Source organism: Homo sapiens, chromosome 5, assembly GCF_000001405.40.
Source record: "Homo sapiens chromosome 5, GRCh38.p14 Primary Assembly".
Lineage (NCBI taxonomy): Eukaryota > Metazoa > Chordata > Mammalia > Primates > Hominidae > Homo > Homo sapiens.
Window position 1 is genome coordinate 116,117,983 of NC_000005.10, and position 25,674 is coordinate 116,143,656.

The 25,674-nt window shown below is 34.3% G+C and overlaps 1 protein-coding gene across 5 annotated transcripts in view, besides 1 other annotated feature; it reads left to right on the forward strand.

Annotated features, from left to right (window-relative positions):
* COMMD10 (COMM domain containing 10) overlaps positions 1-25,674 on the forward strand; it is a 208,263-nt gene that overhangs the window by 32,958 nt on the left and 149,631 nt on the right. For all 5 annotated transcript variants that reach the window (NR_146220.2, NR_146218.2, NR_146219.2 and 2 more), the window contains exon 5: positions 16,086-16,196. Coding sequence is in view for 2 of the 5 variants with exons in the window: in NM_016144.4 (NP_057228.1) it covers positions 16,086-16,196 (111 nt within the window). In the remaining 3 variants the exon portion in view is untranslated. The remainder of the gene's footprint in view (positions 1-16,085; positions 16,197-25,674) is intronic.
* Positions 17,623-17,672: a silencer, noted in NCBI's record as "silent region_16257". NCBI's record gives its function as "represses an Ori minimal core promoter by ATAC-STARR-seq in GM12878 lymphoblastoid cells {active_cell/tissue: GM12878}" and the evidence as "EXISTENCE:reporter gene assay evidence [ECO:0000049][PMID:35858748]".

The following is a 25,674-nucleotide window of genomic DNA, read 5'->3' on the forward strand; positions in this document are numbered from 1 at the left end:
AGTTGGAGTTCTTACAATTGTCTTTAAGGAACTACATGCCCTGTTGTCTCCTCAGCCCACAACCTACATTGTTGACCATCTCCTTTTAACATCCTCTATCTGGCTTATTGAATACCTCTAATCTCTTTACTTCAAAAGTTCTGCTGGATGTTCATAGGGCTGGCTTGGTTCCTTTTTCCAGCTGATTGTTTAAATGTCACATTTGTCAGTGAATCTTTCCCTGATAGTGCCACCTCCTCTGTGGCATTTTATTATCTTATTTTTCTCCATAATATTTATTTTTTTTGTGGCCCACTATATATTTTACTTATTTACTTTTTTGTCTGTCTCTACCACCAGAATATAAGCTCCTCAATGGCAATAATTTTTGTCTGTTTGTTTACTGCTGTTATTTTCACTACTTTTGGTCTTTGGGAGATAGTAGAGTGTCAGTAAATATTTGTTGAATGAATGCATGTGCAATATTCCATCCTTACAAACTGTGCTATTTTTAAGTTCACTTTATTCGGTTTCCTTATGAAGAGGGATATTTTTTTTATTGACAGAGAAAGGACAATAAAAGGAGGAGGCTATGAACTGCATTTTGTATTTCCTAATATTCTTTTGTGTTTTCATTTTTGGTTGTACTTCAAGCCTTTTTGTGGTTCATTTATTTTATGGCTCTTGAATTTTGCTAGAGTACTAGATTCTAGTCATTTAAAAAATTTTCTCTTTAAAAGTGAAAATATAGAAAGAATTGCTTTAGGTTGAAACAGATGGAAATTCTCCAGGAAAAAAAAAAAGTGATGGACTTAGCTGTTGATGCAGAAATCAATTTAAAAATCTTTAGATCTAAGAGACCCTTAATCAGTCTTATTTGAAACAGAATGTATTTCTCCACTGCATAAGTAATTGGCTGAAACCAGAACCATTAACAAATTGAATGAAGATTTCGTTAATGCCAGGGAACTGTGCTGTTAGCAAAATCACTCTTATTATGTCACAGTATTCAAAGATGTGCATTTGTTAAATAGAGTTGATGTACTTTTTCAGAGTGTTGCCAATTGTGAGAACATTTGTTGAATGACATTTCAGTGTCCTCAAACTTGTGCTATTATCTTCATATATTCTTGGTATGCAGAGGTGACAAACAATTTGAAAAAAAAATACATTGATGATTTCCCTCACTTCCCTCCAACTTGAATATGAAGGCCAGTCTTATGATTTGGTACTTTGGTCAAGTCTGTGGGTCAAGGGATATAATTAAGTTCCTTGTCACCCTAACAGTGAGACTAGGCCGACTTTTGTGGTGTCTAAACTTGAGGGTATTGGTTAGGGAATATCCCTGAATTGTGTTTGTAATAAGGCATTTGCACTTCTTATTGTGATTTGATGTAGCAGCCAAATTAAAAGTACAGAGTGCCAAAATGAATGTGTTGGCTTAGTCACTTTTGGAGTTTTGCAGAGGGCAACAGACTCCTGAGGTCTTCTGGAGGCTGCCTAATGGGTAACCCTGTTGGAGATTTGTGCAGTATGTCTTATGAAAGTAGGCAGTCACTTGGATATGGTAATATATTCACTTCTGTGTTTTATAGGTTATATATTGTATACCAGTCATCTCTGATACCCTGGCCCTGGCATCTTATTATTTTTTTTCCAGAGACAGGGTTTTGCTCAGTCACTCAGGCTGAAGTGTGCAGTGGCTTGTGGTGTGATCATAGCTCACTGCAGCCTTAAACTCCTAGGCTCAAGGGATCCTCCTGCCTCAGCTTCCCAAGTAACTAGGACTACAGGTGTATGCTGTCATGCCTAGATACTTTTTAAAGAACATTTTCATAGAGACAGTGTCTTGCCATTTTGCCCAGGCTGGTCTTGAACTCTTGGCCTCAAGCAATTGGTCCCCCTGCCTCAGCCTCCCAAAGTGCTAGGATTACGGGTGTGAGTCACTGTGCCTGCCTTGTATCTTTAAAAAATAATGTTTTATAATTATAATTTGTATAGTATATACTGTATTCTTTTGAATTGTATGGTTCCATGAATTTTGATAGCTGTATTTCCATGAGATCACCATGGTAATCAAGATACAGAGCATTATGTTTATAGCGGCACAATTTGCAATTGCAACAATATGGAACCAACCTAAGTGCCCATCAACCAACAAATGAATAAAGAAAATATGGTATATATACACTATGGAGTACTACTCAGCCATAAAAAGGAATGAAGTAGCGTTTTTTGCAGCAACTTGGGTGACACTGGAGGCCAGTTTTCTAAATGAAGTAATTCAGGAATGGAAAACCAAATATCTTACGTTCTCCCTTATTGGGAGCTAAGCTATGAGGTTGTGGTGGCATGAGAATGATATAATGGACTTTGGGGATTTGTGGGGCAAGGTTGGGAGGAAGATGAGGGATAAAAGACTACACATTGGGTACAGTGTACACTGCTTCGGTGACGGTTGCACTAAAATCTCAGAAATCACTGCTACAGAACTTACCCATGTAAGCAAATACCACCTGTACCCCAAAAACTATTGAAATAAAATTAAAAAAAATTTTTTTTAAAGATAGAGTATTTTCATTACCCTCAAAAGTTTCATTTTCCTTTGCAGTCCCTTACTGCCCTAACCTAGCCCCAAGCAACCCCTGCTCTACATTCTGTCACTATAGATGGCATTCTCTAGTATTTTATATAAATGGACTTACAGATATACTTTTTGTATGTGTCTGGCTTCATACACTGATTATAATGATTTTGAGACTGATCATTTTGTTACTTGTATTAGTACTTTTTTTTTTTTTATTACAGAGTAGTATTCTACCATTTGGATATACCTCAGTTTGCTTATCTGTTCACCTGTTTGTGGATATCTGGGCTATTTCTAGGTTTTGGCTATTATGAATAAACCTAATTAATGTTTATCTGTGATTAACATTTATGTATATGTTTTGTATGTTTTTGTATATGTTTATGTATATGTTTTGTATGTGTATATGTATATGTTTTTGTATAGGCCTATATTTTCTTTTTTTTAATTATACTTTAAGTTCTAGGATACATATGCACAACGTGCAGGTTTGTTACATAGATATACATGTGCCATGTTGTTATGCCGCACCCATTAACTCATCATTTACATTAGATATTTCTCCTAATGCTCTCCTTCCCCCTGCCCCCCACCACATGACAGGCCCCGTGTGTGATGTTCCCCTTCCTCTGTCCAAGTGTTCTCATTGTTCAGTTCCCACCTATGAGTGAGAACATGCGGTGTTTGGTTTTCTGTCCTTGTGATAGTTTGCTGAGAATGATGGTTTCTGGCTTCATTCATGTTCCTGCAAAGGACATGAACTAATCCTTTTTTATGGCTGCATAGTATTCCGTGGTGTATATGTGCCACATTTTCAAAATCCAGTCTATCATTGCTGGACATTCGGGTTGGTTCCAAGTATTTGCTTTTGAGAATAGTGCCGCAGTAAACATACATGTGCATGTGTCTTTATAGTAGCATGATTTATAATCCTTTGGGTATATACCCAGTAATGGGATGGCTGGGTCACATGGTATTTCTAGTTCTAGATCCTTGAGGAATCGCCACACTGTCTTCCACGATGGTTGAACTAGTTTACACTCCCACCAACAGTGTAAAAGCATTCCTATTTCTCCACATCCTCTTCAGCATCTGTTGTTTCCTGACTTTTTAATGATCGCCATTCTAACTGGCATGAGATGGTATCTCATTGTGGTTTTGATTTGCATTCTCTGATGGCCAGTGATGATGAGCATTTTTTCATGTGTCTGTTGGCTGTGTAGATGTCTTCTTTTGAGAAGTGTCTGTTCATATCCTTTGCCCACTTTTTGAATGGGGTTATTTGTTTTTTTCTTGTAAATTTGTTGGAGTTCTTTGTAGATTCTGGATGCTAGCCCGTTTTCAGATGGGTAGATTGCACAAATTTTCTCCCATTCTGTAGGTTGCCTGTTCACTCTGATGGTAGTTTCTTTTGTCATGCAGAAGCTCTTTAGTTTAATTAGATTCCATTTGACTATTTTGGCTTTTGTTGCCATTGCTTTTGGTGTTTTAGACATGAAGTCCTTGCCCATGCCTATGTCCTGAATGGTATTGCCTAGGTTTTCTTCTAGGGTTTTTATGTTTTAGGTCTAACATGTAAGTCTGTAAGCCATCTTGAATTAATTTTTGTATAAGGTGTAAGGAAGGGATCCAGTTTTAGTTTTCTACATATGGCTAGCCTGTTTTCCCAGCACCATTTATTAAATAGGGAATCCTTTCCCCATTTCTTGTTTTTGTCAGGTTTGTCAAAGATCAGATGGTTGTAGATGTGTGGTGTTATTTCTGAGGCCTCTGTTCTGTTCCATTGGTCTGTATCTCTGTTTTGGTACCAGTACCATGCTGTTTTGGTTACTGTAGCCTTGTAGTATAGTTTGAAGTCCGGTAACGTGATGCCTCCAGCTTTGTTCTTTTTGCTCAGGATTGACTTGGCAATGAGGGCTCTTTTTTGGTTCCATATGAACTTTAAAGTAGTTTTTCCAATTCTGTGAAGAAAGTCATTGGTAGTTTGATGGGGATGGCATTGAATCTATAAATTACCTTGGGCAGTATGGCCATTTTCATGATATTGATTTTTCCTATCCATGAGCATGGAATGCTCTTCCATTTGTTTGTGTCCTCTTTTATTTCATTGAGCAGTGGTTTGTAGTTCTCCTTGAAGAGGTCCTTCACATCCCTTGTAAGCTGGATTCCTAGGTATTTTATTCTCTTTGAAGCAATTGTGAATGGGAGTTCACTCATGATTTGGCTCTCTGTCTGTTATTGGCATATAGAAATGCTTGTGGTTTTTGCATATTGATTTTGTATCCTGAGACTTTGCTGAAATTGCTTATCAGCTTAAGGAGATTTTGGGCTGAGACGATGGGGTTTTCTAAATATACAGTCATGTCATCTGCAAACGGGGACAGTTTGACTTCCTCTTTTCCTAACTGAATACCCTTTATTTCTTTCTCTTGCCTGCTTGCCCTGGCCAGAACTTCCAACACTATGTTGAATAGGAGTGGTGAGAAAGGGCATCCCTGTCTTGTGCTAGTTTTCAAAGGGAATGCTTCTAGTTTTTGCCCATTTGATATGATATTGGCTGTGGGTTTGTCATAAATAGCTCTTATTATTTTGAGATAATCAATACTTAGTTTATTGGAATACCATCAATACCTAGTTTATTCCAACAAAAGCCAATGGAAACTAATACAAATGGAATCTAATACCTCTAATACCATCGATACCTAATTTATTGAGTGATTTTAGCATGAAGGGCTGTTGAATTTTGTCGAAGGCCTTTCCTGCATCTACTGAGATAATCATGTGGTTTTTGTTGTTGTTTCTATTTATGTGATGGATTACGTTTATTGATTGGCGTATGTTGAACCAGCCTTGTATCCCAGGGATGAAGCCGACTTGATTGTGGTGGATAAACTTTTTGACGTGCTGCTGGATTCGGTTTGCCAGTATTTTATTGAGGATTTTTGCATCAATGTTCATCAGGGATATTGGTCTAAAGTTCTCTTTTTTTGTCGTGTCTCTGTCAGGCTTTGGTATCAAGATGATGCTGGCCTCATAAAATGAGTTAGGGAGGATTCCCTCTTTTTCTGTTGTTTGGAATAGTTTCAGAAGGAATGGTACCAGCTCCTCCTTGTACCTCTGGTAGATTTCAGCTATGAATCTGTCTGGTCCTTGGCTTTTTTTGGTTGGCAGGCTATTAATTATTTCCTTAATTTCAGAGCCTGTTATTGGTCTATTCAGAGATTCAACTTCTTTCTGGTGTAGTCTTGGGAGGGTGTATGTGTCCAGGAATTTATCCATTTCTTCTAGATTTTCTAGTTTATTTGCATAGAGGTGTTTATAGTATTCTCTGATGGTAGTTTGCATTTCTGTGGGATTGGTGGTGATATCCCCTTTATCATTTTTTTTTATCTATTTGATTCTTCTCGCTTTTCTTCTTTATTAATCTTGCCAGCAGTCTATCAATTTTGTTGATCTTTTCAAAAAACTGGTTTCTGGATTCATTGATGTTTTGAAGGGTTTTTTTCTGTCTCTGTCTCCTTCAGTTTTGCTCTGATCTTAGTTATTTCTTGCCTTCTGCTAGCTTTTGAATTTGTTTGCTTTTGCTTCTCTAGTTCCTTTAAATGTGATGTTAGGGTGTCAGTTTTAGATCTGTCCATCTTTCTCTTGTGGGCATTTAGTGCTATAAATTTCCTTCTACATACTGCTATAATTGTGTCCCAGAGATTCTGGTACATTGTGTCTTTGTTCTTATTGGATTCAAAGAACATCTTTATTTCTGCCTTCATTTCGTTACTTACCCAGTAGTCATTCAGGAGCAGATTGTTCAGTTTCCATGTACTTATGCAGTTTTAAGTGAGTTTCTTAATCCTGAGTTCTAGTTTGATTGCACTGTGGTCTGAGAGACAGTTTGTTGTGATTTCTGTTCTTTTACATTGGCTGAGGAGTGCTTTACTTCCAACTATGTGGTCAATTCTGGAATAATTGCGATGCGGTGCTGAGAAGAATGTATATTCTGTTGATTTGGGGTGGAGAGTTCTGTAGATGTCTATTAGGTCTGCTTGATGCAGAGCTGAGTTGAAGTCCTGGATATGCTTGTTAACCTTCTGTCTCATTGATCTGTCTAATTTTAACAGTGGGGTGTTAAAGTCTCCCATTGTTATTGTATGGGAGTCTAAGTCTCTTTGTAGGTCTATAAGGACTTGCTTTATGAATCTGGGTGCTCCTGTATTGGGTACATATATATTTAGGATAGTTAGCTCTTCTTGTTGAATTGATCCCTTTACCATTATGCAATGGCCTTCTTTGTCTCTTTTGATCTTTGTTTAAAGTCTGTTTTATCAGAGACTAGGATTGCAACCCCTCCTTTATTTTTGCTTTCCATTTGCTTGGTAGATCTTCCTCTATCCCTTTATTTTGAACCTATGTGTGTCTCTGCACGTGAAGTGGTTCTCCTGAATACAGCACACTGTTGAGTGTCTTGTGTCAGTCTGTGTCTCTTAATTGGAACATTTAGCCCATTTACATTTAACGTTAATATTGTTATGTGTGAATTTGATCCTGTCGTTATGATGTTACCTGGTTATTTTCCTCGTTAGTTGATGCAGTTTCTTCCTAGCATTGATGGTCTTTACAATCTGGCATGTTTTTGCAGTGGCTGGTACCAGTTGTTCCTTTCCATGTTTAGTGCTTCCTTCAGGAGCTCTTGTAAGGCAGGCCTGGTAGTGACAAAGTCTGTCAGCATTTGTCTGTAAATGATTTTATTTCTCCTTCACATATGAAGTTTATTTTGGCTGGATATGAAATTCTGGGTTGAAAATTCTTTTCTTTAAGAATGTTGAACATTGGCCCCCACTCTCTTCTGGCTTGTAGAGTTTCTACTGAGAGATGCGCTGTTAGTCTGGTGGGTTTCCCTTTGTGGGTAACCCGACCTTTGTCTCTGGCTGCCCTTAACATTTTTTCCTTTGTTTCAACTCTGGTGAATCTGACAATTATGTGACTTGGAGTTGCTCTTCTCCAGGAGTATCTTTGTGGCGTTCTCTGTATTACCTGAATTTGAATGTTGGTCTGCCTTGCTAGCTTGGGGAAGTTCTCCTGGATAATATCCTGCAGAGTGTTTTCCAACTTGGTTCCATTCTCCCTGTCACTTTCAGGTGCACCAATCAGATATAGATTTGGTCTTTTCACATAGTCCCATATTTTTTGAAGGCTTTGTTCGTTTCTTTTTATTCTTTTTTCTCTAAACTTCTCGCTTCATTTCATTCATTTGATCGTCAGTCACTGATACCCTTTCATACTGAATGGGCAAAAACTGGAAGCATTCTCTTTGAAAACTGGCACAAGACAGGGATGCCCTCTCTCACCACTCCTGTTCAGCATAGTGTTGGAAGTTCTGGCCAGGCCAAGCAGGAAAGAGAAAGAAATAAAGGGTATTCAGTTAGGAAAAGAAGAAGTCAAATTTTCCCTGTTTGCAGATGAGATGATTGTATATTTAGAAAACCCCATTGTCTCAGCCCAAAATCTCCTTAAGCTGATAAGCAACTTCAGCAAAGTCTTAGGATACAAAATCAGTGTGCAAAAATCACAGGCATTCCTATACGCCAATAACAAACAGAGATCCAAATGACGAGTGAACTCCCATTCACAATTGCTTCAAAGAGAATAAAATACCTAGGAATCCAGCTTACAAGGGATGTGAAGGACCTCTTCAAGGAGAACTACAAACCACTGCTCAACGAAATGAAAGAGGACACAAACAAATGGAAGAACATTCCATGCTCATGAATAGGAAGAATCGATATCATGAAAATGGCCATACTGCCCAAGGTAATTTATAGATTCAATGCCATCCCCATCAAACTACCAATGACTTTCTTCACAGAATTGGAAAAAACTACTTTAAAGTTCATATGGAACCAAAAAAGAGCCCTCATTGCCAAGTCAATCCTAAGCAAAAAGAACAAAGCTGGAAGCATCACATTACCGGACTTCAAACTATACTACAAGGCTACAGTAACCAAAACAGCATGGTACTGGTACCAAAACAGAGATATAGACCAATGGAACAGAGTACAGCCCTTGGAAATAATACCACACATCTACAACCATCTGATCTTTGACAAACCTGACAAAAACAAGAAATGGGGAAAGGATTCCCTATTTAATAAATGTTGCTGGGAAAACAGGCTAGCCATATGTAGAAAGCTGAAACTGGATCCCTTCCTTACACCTTATACAAAAATTAATTCAAGATAGTTTAAAGACTTAAAAATTAGACCTAAAACCATAAAAACCCTAGGAGGAAACCTAGGCAATACCATTCAGGCCATAGGCATGGGCAAGGACTTCATGTCTAAAACACCAAAAGCAATGGCAACAAAAGCCAAAATTGACTGATGGGATCTAATTAAACTAAAGAGCTTCTGCACAGCAAAAGAAACTACCATCAGAGTGAACAGGCAACCTACAGAATAGGAGAAAATTTTTACAATCTACCCAACTGACAAAGGGCTAATATCCAGAATCTACAAAGAACTTGAACAAATTTACAAGAGAAAATCAAACAACCCCATCAAAAAGTGGGCAAAGGATATGAACAGACACTTCTCAAAAGAAGACATTTATGCAGCCAACAGACACATGAAAAAATGTTCATCATCACTGGCCATCAGAGAAATGCAAATCAAAACCACAATGAGATACCACCTCACACCAGTTAGAATGGCGATCATTAAAAAGTCAGGAAACAACAGGTGCTGAAGAGGATGTGGAGAAATAGCAATGCTTTTACACCTTTGGTGGGAGTGTAAACTAGTTCAACCATCGTGGAAGACAGTGTGGCGATTCCTCAAAGATCTAGAACTAGAAATACCATGTGACCCAGCCATCCCATTACTAGGTATATACCCAAAGGATTATAAATCATGCTGCTATAAAGACACATGCACACGCATGTTTATAGTGGCACTATTCTCAATAGCAAAGACTTGGAAGCAACCCAAATTTCCGTCAATGATAGACTGGATTAAGAAAATGTGGCACATATACACCATGGAATACTATGCAGCCATAAAAAAGGATGAGTTCATGTCCTTTGTAGAGACATGGATGAAGCTAGAAACCATCATTCTGAGCAAATTATCGCAAGGACAGAAAACCAAACACTGCATGTTCTCACTCATAGGTGGGAGTTGAACAATGAGAACACTTGGACACAGGGTGGAGAACATCACACACTGGGGCCTGTCTTGTGGTGGGGGGAAGGAGGAGGGATAGCAGTAGGAGATATACCTAGTGTAAATGACATGTTAACGGGTGCAGCACACCAACATGGCACATGTATACATATGTCACAAACCTGCACGTTGTGCACATGTACCCTAGAACTTAAAGTATAATAATAATAATAATAAAAAAGGTGGGAAACATAACAGATTATCAGAGAAGACTGCTCTGGATAAAAATTGTTTTGTGAAACCTTTGTGTATGTGTGTCAGTTCGCAGCATAAAAAGTATTCTTGCTGTGGGACATAGTCGAAAAAACTTTAATGCTGCTGTTTTTAGAGAGCTTCTAGTAAAAATTTAGCTGGTAAATTTACATTTTCTTTTCCTATTTTGAGGAGTTAATGTAGTAATTTTGTCTAATTTGAGATGTGCTTAGAATTTTGGTTTACAGAGTAATTGTAAGAATTTAAGATTATATTGAAGTTATAATATTTTGAGGTGACATTTTAGTAACATTCTCAGGTAAAAGGTAATGTAAGTGAGATGCCTAACTACTGTGTTAACAGTTTTGGCATGGGTTGAAAACCATTATAAATATTAGTGGCTTATTTTCCTGTGTTTTATATTATTTTGATCATATTTAAACCTAGGACATTAAAGTGTAAGGACCCTCAGATTTAAATTTGAATATGAAATAATAAAGAAATTACATTAATATAATTCATTGATATGATGTACACAGGATAGTTTTATTTTAAATAGAAGCAAATATAATTAGCTAACTTAAGGCAAAACTCTATACTGGGTTTTATTTCACATGTAACTAAAATATTGGTGATTGTCTTATTTGCTTAGTTATGAGTCTCAGGAATAATTAAATGGTATGAGATTTTTCATCTTTGTATAGTAACTGTATCTTGTTTATGTCAGCAATGCCTACTATAGGTCTGGCAAATAATATAAGAATATATTCTAAACAATGTAAGGAATTATTTATTCCCTTTGCTTTTAGGACATTGATATTTCTGAAGTATACGTGCCACTTATTTTATGGCGTATCCCTCAATTTTTATTTTTCTGTTGTTAATTCATGATCAGATTTAGATTGTGATTTTTTGGTTAGAATACTGTGTAAGTGACGTTGTGACTTTTGCAGAATATCACACCTACAGGTGCTTGATGTTCATTAGCCACTTTTTGATAATGTTAATTTTGATCCCTTGGGTAAGGTGAGGTTCTCCACTGTATCACTACTCTTTTCTTTTATAAATAAAGAGCAGTCGTGGGTAGATACTTTGTGACTATGTAAACATACAATTCCACGTGAGACTTTCTCCACTTTGATTCAGTATCTACTGATGATTCTTACTTGATTGAACTTCTTGTAACTTTTGATTTTGATATAATTTATATAATTTTAAACTTACAGAGAAGTTGCCATAATGATGTAAGGAAGCCCCATATATTCTTTATCCTGATTCACCAATTGTTTACATTTGTTTTACGTTTTTAATCTGTAAAATGGGGGTAATAAGCGTTACCTGTCTCACAGGGTTGTTAGTTTTCTTTGTCTTCTTTTTTGTATATATAGTATAGTATATATATGCTATATACTATAGTATTTTATATATATTAGTATATATACACTATATACTATGTAATATACATTAGTATATATATACTATATACTAATGTAATATACATTAGTATATATATACTATATACTAATGTAATATACATTAGTATATATATACTATATACTAATGTAATATACATTAGTATATATATACTATATACTAATGTAATATACATTAGTATATATATACTATATACTAATGTAATATACATTAGTATATATATACTATATACTAATGTAATATACATTAGTATATATATACTATATACTAATGTAATATACATTAGTATATATATACTATATACTATGTAATATACATTAGTGTATATATATACTATATACTATGTGATATACAGTATATATATATACTATATACTATATAATATACATTAGTATATATATACTATATACTATATAATATATATTAGTATATATAGTATAGTATATATACTGTGCTATGTAGTATAGTATTATATAGCTATTAAGTATTAGTTTGTAATAATAGTTATCCTTTCTATATTTTCTATTCATTTAAGCTTTCTGAATACTGATTATTCTCTGTGAAGCTGTGTGTGTGGGTGTTTGCATGCACAAACACATATGAGGTCAGCAATTTTATTTACTTTTTTTATTACTCTGTCATATGGCCATGGAACAAATATTTTTCAATGACAAAGTTTAATAGAAAAGGCTCTGGAAATTAAGAAAGCCAATCCATGAATACTTTTAGTCATGACTCTTTTAAAAATTACTTTCCTTGTGCATACTCTTTAATTTATTTCAATTCAATTCTACAGATAGATGTAGAATGTGCTTACTGTATGCGGGACATTATTTTAAGTGCTCCGGGTATAGCACTGATAAAAAGGGCAAAATCCTTTGTTCTCAAGGAGTTTAGAATCTTAGGTGGTAGTCAGCAAGCAAATAAATACTATATGTTATGATAGATGGCAAAAAGCCCTAAGAAAATAAAGTGAGGCAAGTAGTGACACAGTTCACTTATTAGTTTTCTGTTATCCGGGGACTGAGAATACAGTTTGTTAATTTATTGACCCTGCTTCTCCGTCTTCTGGACGTTTGTTATGTCAGTCATTCTTACTGTTAGTTGAGGCCAAAGAAACTGTAATCTAGAAGTTATTTAGTCCTCTACTTAGGGAGTGGGTAGTGAATGAGTCTTTCAAAATTTGATGCAATTATCCAAAATTAGTGAATGTGTATGCGTTTTTCTGAGACAAGTTTCTATACTTTTCATTCAGTTATCAAATAGTCTGTGACCCAAAATATTTAAGTGGCGACTCTAATTTGTCCTTTCTTCTAGCCACATGGCTAAGGAGTTTTGTGAATGAGTAACACAGTCTTGATTAACATGAGGTTTGCAGGCTAGCCTTTGTGTACCTATCTCTAGTTAGTAACTTTTAAAATTAGAGTTGTATCCTTTTGTCAGATGGCTTTCTAATAATTTTCTAAAATGAACATAATAAGTATAACATTGTAAATATTTAAAATATGCAATTTTGTTTGTAGTTTTAAAATCAAAATACTTGATAGTTTCTTGTGTGATGATATATATTTTGAGTAGTATTTTCCAAAGACAATTTATAATATCAACAAAGAAGGCTAACTCATGGCAATATTACAAATATACACGTATCTAGTTGGGGAAAGAATATACTGATTGGACAGAACACTTAATTGGAGAAATTGGGAAAGGAGGTGCCACTAACTCAATATTTGACAATGTATCATTTAACCCTTTACAACTTAGTGAGGCAGGTCTTATTGTGTCCATTTTGCAGATGAGAATATCGAGGCCCAAAGAGGTGAATAGAATATGTAACTTGCTTAAGGTCAATTAGTATGGAACTTCACAGCCCACACTCAGCTGCTACTTTAGCAAACCAAATGAAAGCTAGGGTAATGTTTACTCATTATAAAAAGGATTTCTGGACATGCTTTGGCCTGCAGATAATATTGTATGTGTGACAGGTGGGAGGGGTATGTGTGTGTGTGTGTATGTGTGTATGTATGTATGTATGTATGTATGTGTATGTGAAGAACCAACCAAATATTAGCTCTATAGGTTGCAGTCCTGCCTCCTACCAAAGCCATAGCCAAGTGGAAATACAACTTTTTTTCTTCCTCTTTCATACATTCATTTTCATGTGAATACTTCTCCTTGAAAGTTTGTATATGTTATGTGATTGATCACTTGTCTGAGAGGAATCTTTAGTGTTGACTCTGTCAGAGGCTGTTGTAGGTCACAAGGATATAAAGGTGAATAAGACTCCAGCTGTCTCCTAATGGAGATTGCACTCTACTCTGAGGAGATAGACATGTAGACAAATTATTGCAATACACTGATCTAAATGTTAATAGAGAAAGATGCAGAGTGCTGAGGGAACAGAGTAGCAGACTACAGAGGGAAGGGAAAGGAAAAAATAACAGAGGAGGTGACACTGGAGTCAAAGAAGAGGCATGTGAAACAGCATAGTATGTTTTGGGAATCTTATTTGTTTCACTGTGGCTAAATTATAGATAATTAGTAATATGTTTTAGAACGTAGGAGTGGAAAGGTTGTTATCCCATCCTGAGGGGTTTTGTATATAGAGTTTGGATTTTATTTTGTAGGTAGTAAGGAGCTATTGGAGAATTTTAAGAAGGGAAGTGGGATGATGGGACGAGGTTCTATAGGAGGCAGGTAGCCCAGTTAGAAGACTATTGTGATAGTCTGGGAATATGTGGATGATGAGAATCTGAAATGAGTCATGAATTTTGGAAAATATTTGAAAAATATTTAGAAGATACTGTAGAACAAATTAGGTGACCAAAATGCCTTATATTTATAATACTTTATAGTTTCCAAAATCCTTTAGGTGTGCATGTTATTGGATATTATCAGTAACCCAGAAAAGTAGGTAGTTCAGATGGATTTATTTCCATTTTATATGAGGAAATTGAGATCTTGAAAGATTGTGGCTTAGCCACGGTCACATAGCTGGTGATAGTTTAAGCATGAACCAAATCATAAACTTCAAATATAGGGTTCTTTTTAATTTGTCTGCATCATCTCTATGCAGTGCCTAAGCATACATTAGTTAATATCAAGGCCTGATCACAGTGGGGTGTGAGTTTTAATTTATTCACTTGATATCTCTCTTCATTAGTTATGTTAAGTGCCTAATGGAGAGGGATAGGATCAATTAAATAAGGTAAATGCAACATTTTACAGGTCTATATAAATACCTAGAAAGTGCTTTTCAATTAAGACGGCATGTATGCCAGTGCTTTTTTATATATGAGAATGGTTATGACATTTATTCCTATTTTATTGGAGAGTCTATTGCATGGGACTTGATAATAGTGGCAGGCTGGTATCAGAGACTATGCTTGCTGTAATCAGTGTTAAAGATCAGTATGTAAAGAATCCTTACTTAACATGTACCATGAAATTGATTTTTTATTAGTTATTATAGAGATATTATAGATTATATCTCTACAACATCTTCCTTCTTTTTACCCATAACCTCTAAAAGGCTTAGTGCCAGAAGGAACAGAACTGTATCTTTATTTTCTCATCACATCCTCTCTCAAATAGATAATACTTCCATTGCTGTCTTTCCAACTTGGCTTTGAGTCACTGCTGTGATTCTAGCTGTTGAACAGTCTTTCAAATTAAGTGATTAGTATTCTAGTCAAGGAAAAATTGTGAGCCTGCCATTCTTACCCAGTATTGCTAAGGTAGTTTTACTAAATCTATTATTAGGGTCATGTTCTCAGAGGCATATGACAATTGCATTTCACAAAACTTCCCTAAATATTGATACTTGAGATTTACAGGAAATTAAATCTAAAACCTTACACTTCTGAAGCTGGAGGCACCATAGAGCTGTGAAGTTCAGTATAAAGTCACATCTGTGCTCAATACTTTATAAGAAAAGTTACTCTGCCTTAGTCTTCCTTTACTATTTTTGTCTTACTTGATTAAAATTTTGCTGTTGTATTAACTAATAAATTCAAAGGAAATGTTCTGATTAGTTTCTGTCATAACTGGGAACGATAGTAAGAGTACCTTGGAAAGTATGATAGTCTGTTGCGTAACACTTGCTGGGTAGTAGATATCAATTCTCTGCCTGTTTCAATCTCATTGTGTCTAAAGGTGTGAACCTCTTACCATCTGGATACTTTAGTTTCCCTCTAAATTAAAAAGAAAAAAAGCAAATCTTACCTGTATAGTACCTACGCAAAGATTTTGGAAGATAGTGGGAAGTCATTAAAGTGCTTTTCACCAATTTATGCAATTTACTAGTTGAAATTTGTAACTATTTAAAAATCATTAGTTTTAAAAAATACTATTTTAAAATAGTAATTTACTATTTAATATTTAAAAACCATTGGCTCTTTTAATATATTTCATTGCTTGGTATTAGAATTTTTTATTTTTAGAATAGAGTATATTTAAAGATGACTTTTGCTGTTAAATTTGACAGGCGTGGCAGGAGGCCAATCTAATAAGCCCAAAGGGAGAATTCGCAGAGTATGCAGGTTAAAAGAGCCCTGGAACTGACTTTCTGTGAAGCCTAGGCTATCCATATACATTCCTGCTGAGTGGAGATTTGCTTAAAGTTGACTGTTTTCTTCCTTCTGTACCATCTGATTCCAATCTGCACCTGTCTTTTATAGCTAGAGACCGTTGGATGGCAGCTTAACCTTCAGATGGCTCACTCTGCTCAAGCAAAACTAAAATCTCCTCAAGCTGTGTTACAACTCGGAGTGAACAATGAAGATTCAAAGGTAAGAAATGGTATCCCATTAAAAGGATGTATTTTGTTTGTTAGGACTTAAACTTTTTATTCTTAGCAGTCTTTGCTCTCTGGATTTAGAATTTAAACATAATTCAGTTAAACAGTTATTAATAAGTGGATCTTTTTTGACAGAAATAGCTTATCTTGCAAGGTGCCTTTCTTACAAAAACATTTCATAATGTCTTCTTTTAAATTCTGCAGTGAAAAAAAATTGTTGAAGACCATATAAAATTATGATTTTAATGTTTTAGGTATTTGCAGATATTCCTGAGTGTTTCATGTTTTAAGCTGAATATATGTGGTAGAGAGAATATTGTTTGTTGTCCAGCTAGAGCCTGGAACAATAAATATGATGGTGACCTGAATTGTGTTTTTGTGTGTGTAGTAGTATAGTATGCCTGCATGTGTTTAAATCCCAGCTTTTGAGAAATACAATTTATTTATTTTTTTTGAGACGGTGTCTTGCTGTCGCCCAGGTTGGAGTGCAGTGGCGCGATCTCGGCTCACTGCAGGCTCCGCCCCCTGGGGTTCACGCCATTCTCCTGCCTCAGCCTCCCGAGTAGCTGGGACTACAGGCGCCTGCCACCTTGTCCGGCTAATTTTTTGTATTTTTAGTAGAGATGGGGTTTCACCGTGTTAGCCAGGATGGTCTCGATCCCCTGACCTTGTGATCCACCCCCCTCAGCCTCCCAAAGTGCTGGGATTACAGGCGTGAGCCACCGCGCCCGGCCTACAATTTTTTTTATACCACAGGATTTTACTTTATTATTAATTTCAGAACAACTTGAACGTGATTATTAAAGATCAAAGCATTGCTATGAAATACTTTTTGTTACTGCGGCATATAGGGAAATATATCTTTCAGATATGATAAGAGCTTTTTATCATATTTTATACTGTAATGGATTATCTTTTAAGGTAGAAAAGGGGGAGTGACTTTTTCCTCCTAAGTAGATAAGACTATCTCATCTTAAGACAAAATAGAATTGAGAATGAGGTATTAGAGAAGATCTGAGGCAGGAGATTACAGTGACTGAATGATAATAGAATAATGGAAGAAATGTTATTATTTATAACAGGAATTGAAGGATGGGAATATTATTACTTTTTTGTTAAAACTTTCGCTATTCATTCTATTATGCAGGTTTCTGGCTTCTTTAAGAAGTATCTAGCCCAGATTATATGACTATAAAATTCTGTGGAATTGACTTGAGTCTTACATATAATGTATTAGTTTATTACAGTGTTTCAAAAGTATCATTTTATTTCACACATTTTCACTGGAACGTAATATGAACTTAGTGGTTAGAGTCAAGCTATTAGAGTATGTCTGGTGGTTTCCCTTTATGTGCAGTTTCACTTTCCATAGTTTCAGTTACCCGCGGTCAACTGCCGTTTGAAATAGGTGAGTACAGTACAGTAAGATGAGAGAAAGAGACCACGTCCACATAACTTTATTACACTATGTTGTTGTAGTTGTTCTATTTTATTATTATTGTTGTTAATCTCTTACAGTGCCTAATTTATAAATTAAACTTTATCATAGGTTTGTATATATGGGAAAAAACAGTATATATTGGGTTTAGTACTATCCATGGTTTCAGGCCTCCACTGGGAGTTTTGGAATGCATCCCCCCACAGTGGGCAGGGGGACTACTGTGTGCTCTGCAGTTTAGTGTAGTGTAACCTCAGGCAAATTACTTAATCTTTGATTCTCAGTTTCTTTATCTGTAAAATATAGGTAATAGTATCTATCTACACAATTTTTATGAAGACTAAATACCTAGTATATGTAAAGTGTTTAGTCCAGTGCCCAGTATTACAGCGTGTGCTCAATAAATGCTGGCTACTACCATCATCATCAATAAAACTTTTTTGTTTTTGGCTAAAATAAAGAAATCAATCCATTTGTTTTAATTCAGAGCTCTCACTAAATTTATTTCCTGATGAAGTTATTACCTCTTCCCTTGTTCCTTGCATTCCCTCTCCCTTTTTTCTTGATTATATTTTTCACATGTATCCTTACTGGAAATTAGGAGGGGAAAAAGAGCCTGAAAAGTCCCTTTTGTTTCTTCTGTGAACTGAGTAAGTTATTCCTTTAGGTGTAGGATGATGATCTGGAACTCACTAGCATAGACTGGAGCTATTCCATGAGTGAAAATACATACATACATGCACATTCCAAGTAGCTATATACTTCCTTTGTTTTATTTTTCGTGACTACCTAATGTTAAGTCTGCGTAGCTAAAAGCATTTTGTATGTTGGAAGTGTACTATTTTGACCACATACATTGGATATGCTTTAAGCATCATGAGTTCAGCAATGCTTGTCTTTGGGATTCTCAAGTCCTTCTAGCTTCTTTGTTACATCTTCAAAGTATGCCTATGTGTCTGTTATATTTTTAGGCAGTAGGAATAAAAGAGTAATGCTTCTAGTAAGACAGCCATGTTAATAAGACATTCAGATTATTCAGGAAGATGTGAATATCTAGATGTGAAATCTAACTCATTTGAAATATGAGCTTGAGTACATTTATGTTTTTCTGTGTTTGTATTTTGAGATTTTGGATAGATGCATATATGCACATTGATTAATCTTATAACTTGCAGAGCTAGAGCACCATTTTCATTAACAAATATGCTGAGGAAGAAGAGGAGAAGCACACATACATAAAAGATATTTCTCTTTCATCTTGTATGTAGACTTAAGTGACTTCTTTGTATTGTCTTTCTCTTCTATGGCATTGTACACATTTTGTGCCTGTGTCTTATATCTCCTAAACAATAGACAGACACATAATGAGGTATAGAGCTACCATCACCTAGGCAGAAGCATGCCATCTCCAAGTGTTATGGTGTGCCCTAGCTGTAAAGGAACAGTTAACTACTATACCTCTTTTCCTCAATGAACTGCTGCCTGGAATTACTGCTCTTTCTCTTGTTTACCTTCTCCTTGATTTTATGATTTGGTATTCTATTCTTTGTACTCTTCATCTTATTCCTTATGTTAATTTTTATGTGACTCCTGTTATTAAGGACCACAAACTACTTTTCTTTCAAATATTTACAAATATGAAATGAGAATTCTTCACAGGTTGGAATATTAAGTAAAAAGGAATGAGGGTATAGAGCATGTTTTAAAAAACAAGTTTATTAAAGGAAAGGAAAGCTTTTACAAAAAGGGAGATTAAAAGTTACCACTGCTTAGTTTATGATATAAAGTATCTTAAAGTACAAAACTGTCATACTTATGAAGTTGGTGTTGGTTTAAAACAGGAAGCATTGGGTACAGTTCTCATAAATGTGTATTTTATAGGGTAGTTATCCTGAAAATATACATATATTAAACTACTGGGAGGATTAGAATCACTGTAAATTGTGAGGGATTATTTTGGTTGTATTTACTTTTGAGCTGTTGTACTGAAAACTTACTGTAATTCACTGAAGAGTACGGTTTATAAGGAGCTCCTTATCTTCTTTTTCACTTCTAACATACAAATGAAAAATGCAGCCTGCAGTGAAGTTTTAATTGCTATCACACTGGATAACACTGTTTGACTGTGGTCTCCTTTCTTAGAACACTTCTGTCTCGAGGCTTTCCTGTTTTGCTATTAATTTTATCACAAAAACTAGGTGATTGTAGCTTTCCTGCAGTATTTTGATATGTATTCTAGTTGTTTTTGGTTAATTGTCTTAGTGTTTGTCTACTGTGTTTAGCAAAGTGAGATTATTTTCCTGTTCCACAGATACCTCAAATCGAGTTTTCTGACTTAAAGTTTTTTTCGTTAGGGGGCAGTAGAGTGCTTTGCTTACCTAGCCTTTTCTGGCATTCACAGTGTTATTTGAAATAACATTCAAAATAATTTGTGAAGTCAGTAGTTGAAGGAAATGCTAAGTGTTTACATTTCAAATCTTTATAGAACAATAGAGTTCTCTTATTTATTTCCATAAACAAAATTAATGCTTATTAATCATATACATATAGAACAAATAAATGAAATCATCATGATTTGGCTTTTGAAATTTGTATATGATCATTTGCCAAAATGAAATATATTAAAAGCTTTCTACATTATTGACTTTTTTGTTACATTCTGTCACTTGTATTAATTTCTTCATGAGAAAAAAGAATAAAATAGTCCATAAGATAATTGAATGGCTCTATTAGGTTATGATGTAACTAGTTCTAGGCCCATTGTAGTCAGCTGAAAATTCTTTATTTCTAGAGAGTAATGTCATTTGTAACAAATGTTGATAATTTTGACTGACACCAACACTTTAACTTTGAATATCTTAAAATACTTAAATTTTGCTATTAATCTTAGTACATTTTTTTCCCCAGTAAATTTCCTGTTAAAGACAAACCTGTTTTGTTAATACAGGGATTCCAAATTTTATTTGTGCATCTTTTGAGGAAGGATCCTTGTGTTTCATTTTTTTTTCTTTTACAGTAACTGTGGTAAAATCACCCTGACAGTAGAATTTTTATTTATCTTAATGTTAAATTAGATTATAATCAGATTGCAGAAAGTACTTTATGTAGAAGTAATTATGATTTTGAATGAATTTGGGGCTTCTAATACTAGTTTTCTGACTTAGAGCTCTTCATTCTTATTTCCAAAATATATGACAAATTCTGTTTAGTGTGAGAAAATGGGCAAAAGTTCTTTTTTAAAGTGTTTACTCTGTGCTACACATAGTATCACTTCTTTTTGTGGTTAAAACCTCTCTTCCAGGCATGATTTCTTATTATTCTTATTTTATTGATAAATGGAGACACGGAAGCACAGAGAAGTTAAATAATATTCCCATGTTATACAGATAGTAAACAGTAGACCTAGGATTTGAATCCAGGCAATTTTATTTGAGTTCCAGTTTATCAGTAGGATGCTGTATCACCTTGTTAATTTAATAACTTAGCAGTTGAAATTGTAATATGTGTATATGTTTCAAGGTGTTGAAAGCTGTTGTAAAATGTAAGGTTGTTCATAGGATTATCGTTACATGGACTCTAGATTTAATTTTTCTTTCCCCTTTATTTGACTAAGTTGAAACAATTTTACATTTTTAGTCAATTAGAAACACCATTTATTCTTATGTAGTAAGTAAAGTATAAATGATGTCAGTTCAACAGAGGCTGCCTTTTATTAACAAATATTATTGTAAGGGCTACATGACATCAATGATGTTGATGTGAGCAAATAACTGCATCAGTTAAAAAGAAAAGATGTCCTCAGATCTATTTAGGATAGATTTCTCAGAGAAAAATATGTATGCTATTCAAATCATGAATTCTTGTTATAGAAATTTAAATCTTTTCATCTTAAAGGTGGTGTTAGTATTGACTGATTTGGAATGACCTTCACATTTTTTAGCTACTTATGTGAGTTCGTCTGCATTTTCCTTTTTTTTTTCATTGAAGTATCACGTATCATATCTTTATTAGAATAAATCACACTAAAGCATACTTTCTCACCCTTAATTACACATACAAATGAGATAATTCAACTGATAGGACATAATTCAAATATAAATAAAATCATTCTCTCACATATTTAACATTGTTGAGTGGATTTTAAATTGTATATATTTAAGGTATACGGCATGCTGTTTTGATATAAATATACATAGTAAAATGATTGCTACTATTAAGAAAATTAACCCACCCATCACCTGCCATTATTACCTTTTTTGTGTTTGTGGTTAAAGCACGTAAAATCTATTTTCCTAGCAAAATTTCAGTTTACGATACAATATCATTAATTATAGTCCTGATGCTGTACATCAGATCTCCAGACTTATTTATCCTACATAACTGCAAGTTTATATGCTTTAACCTGCTTCTCCCCATTTTTTCCCTTTCCTTGTCTCTGATAATCTCTGTTCTAATAGGCATTTTTAAAAAATTCCACATATAAGTGAGATCATGCAGTATTTTTCTTTCTACGTCTGGCTTATTTCACTTACCATAATGTCCTCCAGATTCATCCATGTTGTTGCAAATGGCACTATATCCTTTTTCAAGGCTGACTCATACTACTATGTGTGTGTGTGTGTGTGTGTGTGTATGTGTCTGTCTGTATATATGTCTATGCGTATATATATGTACACATATGGACACATACACATACCACAATTTATCCATTGATAGATAGTTACGTTGTTTCCATATCTTGGCTGTTATGAATAATGCTGCAACAAACATGGGGGTGCAGATATCTCTTTAACATACTGGATTCATCTTCTTTGAATATATACCAAGCAGGAGATTCCTGGTAGTTCTAATTTGAATTTTTGGAGGAACCTTCAAACTGTTGTCCTTAATGGCTATACCAATTTACATTTCCACCATCAGTGTACGGGGTTCCCTTTTCTCCACATTCTCACCAGCGTTTGTTGTCTCTTGTCTTTTTGATAATAGTCATTCTAACAGTTGTGAGATAATATTTCATTTTGGTTTTGTTTGCATTTCCCTAATGGTTAGTGATATGGAACATCTTTTCATGTATCTGTTGGCCATTTTTATGTCTTCTTTGGAGAAATTTCTATTTAGGTTCTTTGCCCCTTTTAAAATCAATTAATCTTAGTACATTATTATTATTTTGCTATTGAATTGTGTGAGTTCCTTATACATGTTGTATATTAACCCCTTATCAGATATGTGGTTTGCAAATTTTTCTTCCAGTCTGTAGGCTGTGTTTTTTGTTGATGGTTTCCTTTTCTGTACAGGAGCTTTTAGTTTGATGTAGTTCTACTTGTTTATTTTTTGCTTTTGTTCCTCAAGCTTTTGGTGTGATAATTCAAAATATCAGACTAGGATGAACATCAAGGAGCTTTTTCTCTGTGCTTTCTTCTAGGAGTTTTATGGTTTCAGATCTTATGTTTAGGTCTTTTATCTCTTTTGAGTTTGATTTTTGTGTATGGTGTAAAGGTCCAATTTCATTGTTTTCACATGGATATTCAGTTTTCCCAGCACCATTTATTAAAGAGACAATTCTTTCGTTATTGCATCTTCTCGGTAGCCTTGAGAAAAATTAATTGAACATGTATGCTTGGGTTATTTCTGGGCTCTCTATAGTATTCCTTTTGTCTGTGTATCTGGCTTTATGCCAGTACCATACTATTTTGGTTACTATAACTTTATAATGTAATTTAAAATTAGGAAGTGTGATACATCTAACTTTGTTTTACTTTCTCAAGATTATTTTGGTTATTCCATGCGAATTTTAGAATTTTTTTTCTCTATTTCTGTGAAAAAATGCCATTGGAATTTTGATGGAATTGCATTGAATCCATATATTGCTATGGGTAGTATGGACATTTTAACAATGTTAATTCTTCCAATTCATGAACGTGGGATATCTTGCTATTTAATTATGTCATCTTCAATTTCTTTAATCAGTGTGTTATAGTTTTCAGAGCTTTCACTTCTTTAGCTATATTTATTTATAGGCATTTTATTCTTTTTGCTCTCCTAGCAATGGTATAGTAGCGGGGGGCTGGGAAGAGGGGTGGTGGCTGGGAAAGTGGGAGCACATAAATAAGATTGTTTTCTTGATTTCTTTTTAAGCTAGGTCATTATTTTTGTGAAGAAATGCATCTGATTTTTGTATGGTGATTTTGTAAGGTGTATGCTACTTTACTGAATTTATTTGTTCATTTAACTTTTTTGTGGCGTTTTAAGGGTTCTTTTTCTTTAAATGTAGGATAATGTCATCTGCAAACAGGAATAATTTTATTGTCCTCTCTCAAGTGAAATGATTTTTTAATATTGCCTGCCTTTTTTTAAAAATCATGATTCATTTTTCTGTTACCAAAGCTGTATGTGCTTACTGTAGAAAACTTAGAAATTATAGAAACGTGAAAGGAAAAACTGTTAAACTTACCACAAAGATGCAGGTAATCCATTTGTTTTATTTTATTTAGTGTTTATTCAACATAAACTTTTTCTCCAGTCTGATTATAGGACTTGTTTAATTTTATATTCTACCTTTTTTCACTTAATGCTGTAACAAATCATTTTTTATATCATTTCAAACTCATCATTAATATATTCTAAATGACTGCATTATGTTATGGCTATGACAGACATATTAGGATTTCTTAATAATTCTTACCCTGTCAAATACTGGGTTTGTTTCTAGTATTTTCCTGTTACATTGTAATAAACATCTTTGTGAATATATACTTAGATGCTCAGTAAACCTTTATGCATTATGAATGAATTAGAGAAGCCTTCTTAGGATTTAGGGTTATTCCTCAAGAGGATGATTACTAGGTGAAAGGGTATAAACCAAAATAAAACAAAACATCTTATTTAGTTTGATAAATGGCTTTCTGAAATCATTTTGGGGAATATACACAGAAACGCAAACGTTGCATTCAGAAGATTTCTTAGCTTCTAGAGAAAGATATAACACTATTTCAAAAATAGGTTCTTTAATAACTAGGTAATTAATTACTTTGGATTTTAGGAGGCCAGTAAAAAGCCCAGATATTTTTGTAATATTATAGCGCCCCCTCTTTTAAACTTTTGTATTACTTTAGTGCACAAATTAAACAAGCTTTTGTTATGTGTATTTTGTTTTATTATAGAACATGTAGAAGGAATCTGATCAAATACTCAAGCAGTTAGAGAAAATAGAAATAACTCTTATGTGTTAGATAATTGCCAAGATACTTTGAAAACAAAGCCTGCTTCTTTGGAATCAAATTTATTTAAATATTTTTAAGGCTTTGTGACTCTGGTTTCCTGATTCTTTGTTTTGTATCCTTTTTCATTGTGATCAATTTCTCAATGAAATTATCCTTCAAGGTTTTACGTTTTCTAAATAACAGCAATACAGAAATGTTTTCCCTCAATTTAATGTGTGTTTTTGGTTTTTTTTTTTTTTTTTGGTTTTGTGGTCAACATGACTTTTTAAAAGACAATATTATGTAGTCAGGTATATTGATACAAATCATATGTATATAATTTCTGCATAACGCAATGCAAACTTCCTCCATATATGTGGGTGTGTGTGTAAGATTTTTTCATATTTCAGGCTGTCAAGTGGAAAGTCTACATTTATCCATAATAAGATTTTATAAGCTAACAAAAATACTGTTTCAGATGCTACTTACCTTTGAAGAGTGAAAATACACAATATTAATACACCATTAGAGGTTAGTATTTATGTGGAGAAAATGATAATAGAGACTTGGAGGAGAAAATCTCTGTTAAAAATACTCCAAACATTTTAGGCAATTTAGAATTAAAATATTGTTTTACTAAAATTCTTTTAAAAATTTTGTGGGATTCCATAGTAAAGAAACAAATACTGTCTTCACTTGTCTTTTCTAGCTTCTGAATCGTGTAGTCTCTGAAACCCAGAGGCAGTTGATAAATACAGAATTTTTAAAACAGAATATGTTTAGAAGTACCTTTAAATTTCATTAGATACCTTTTCATGTATTAGAAATGACAG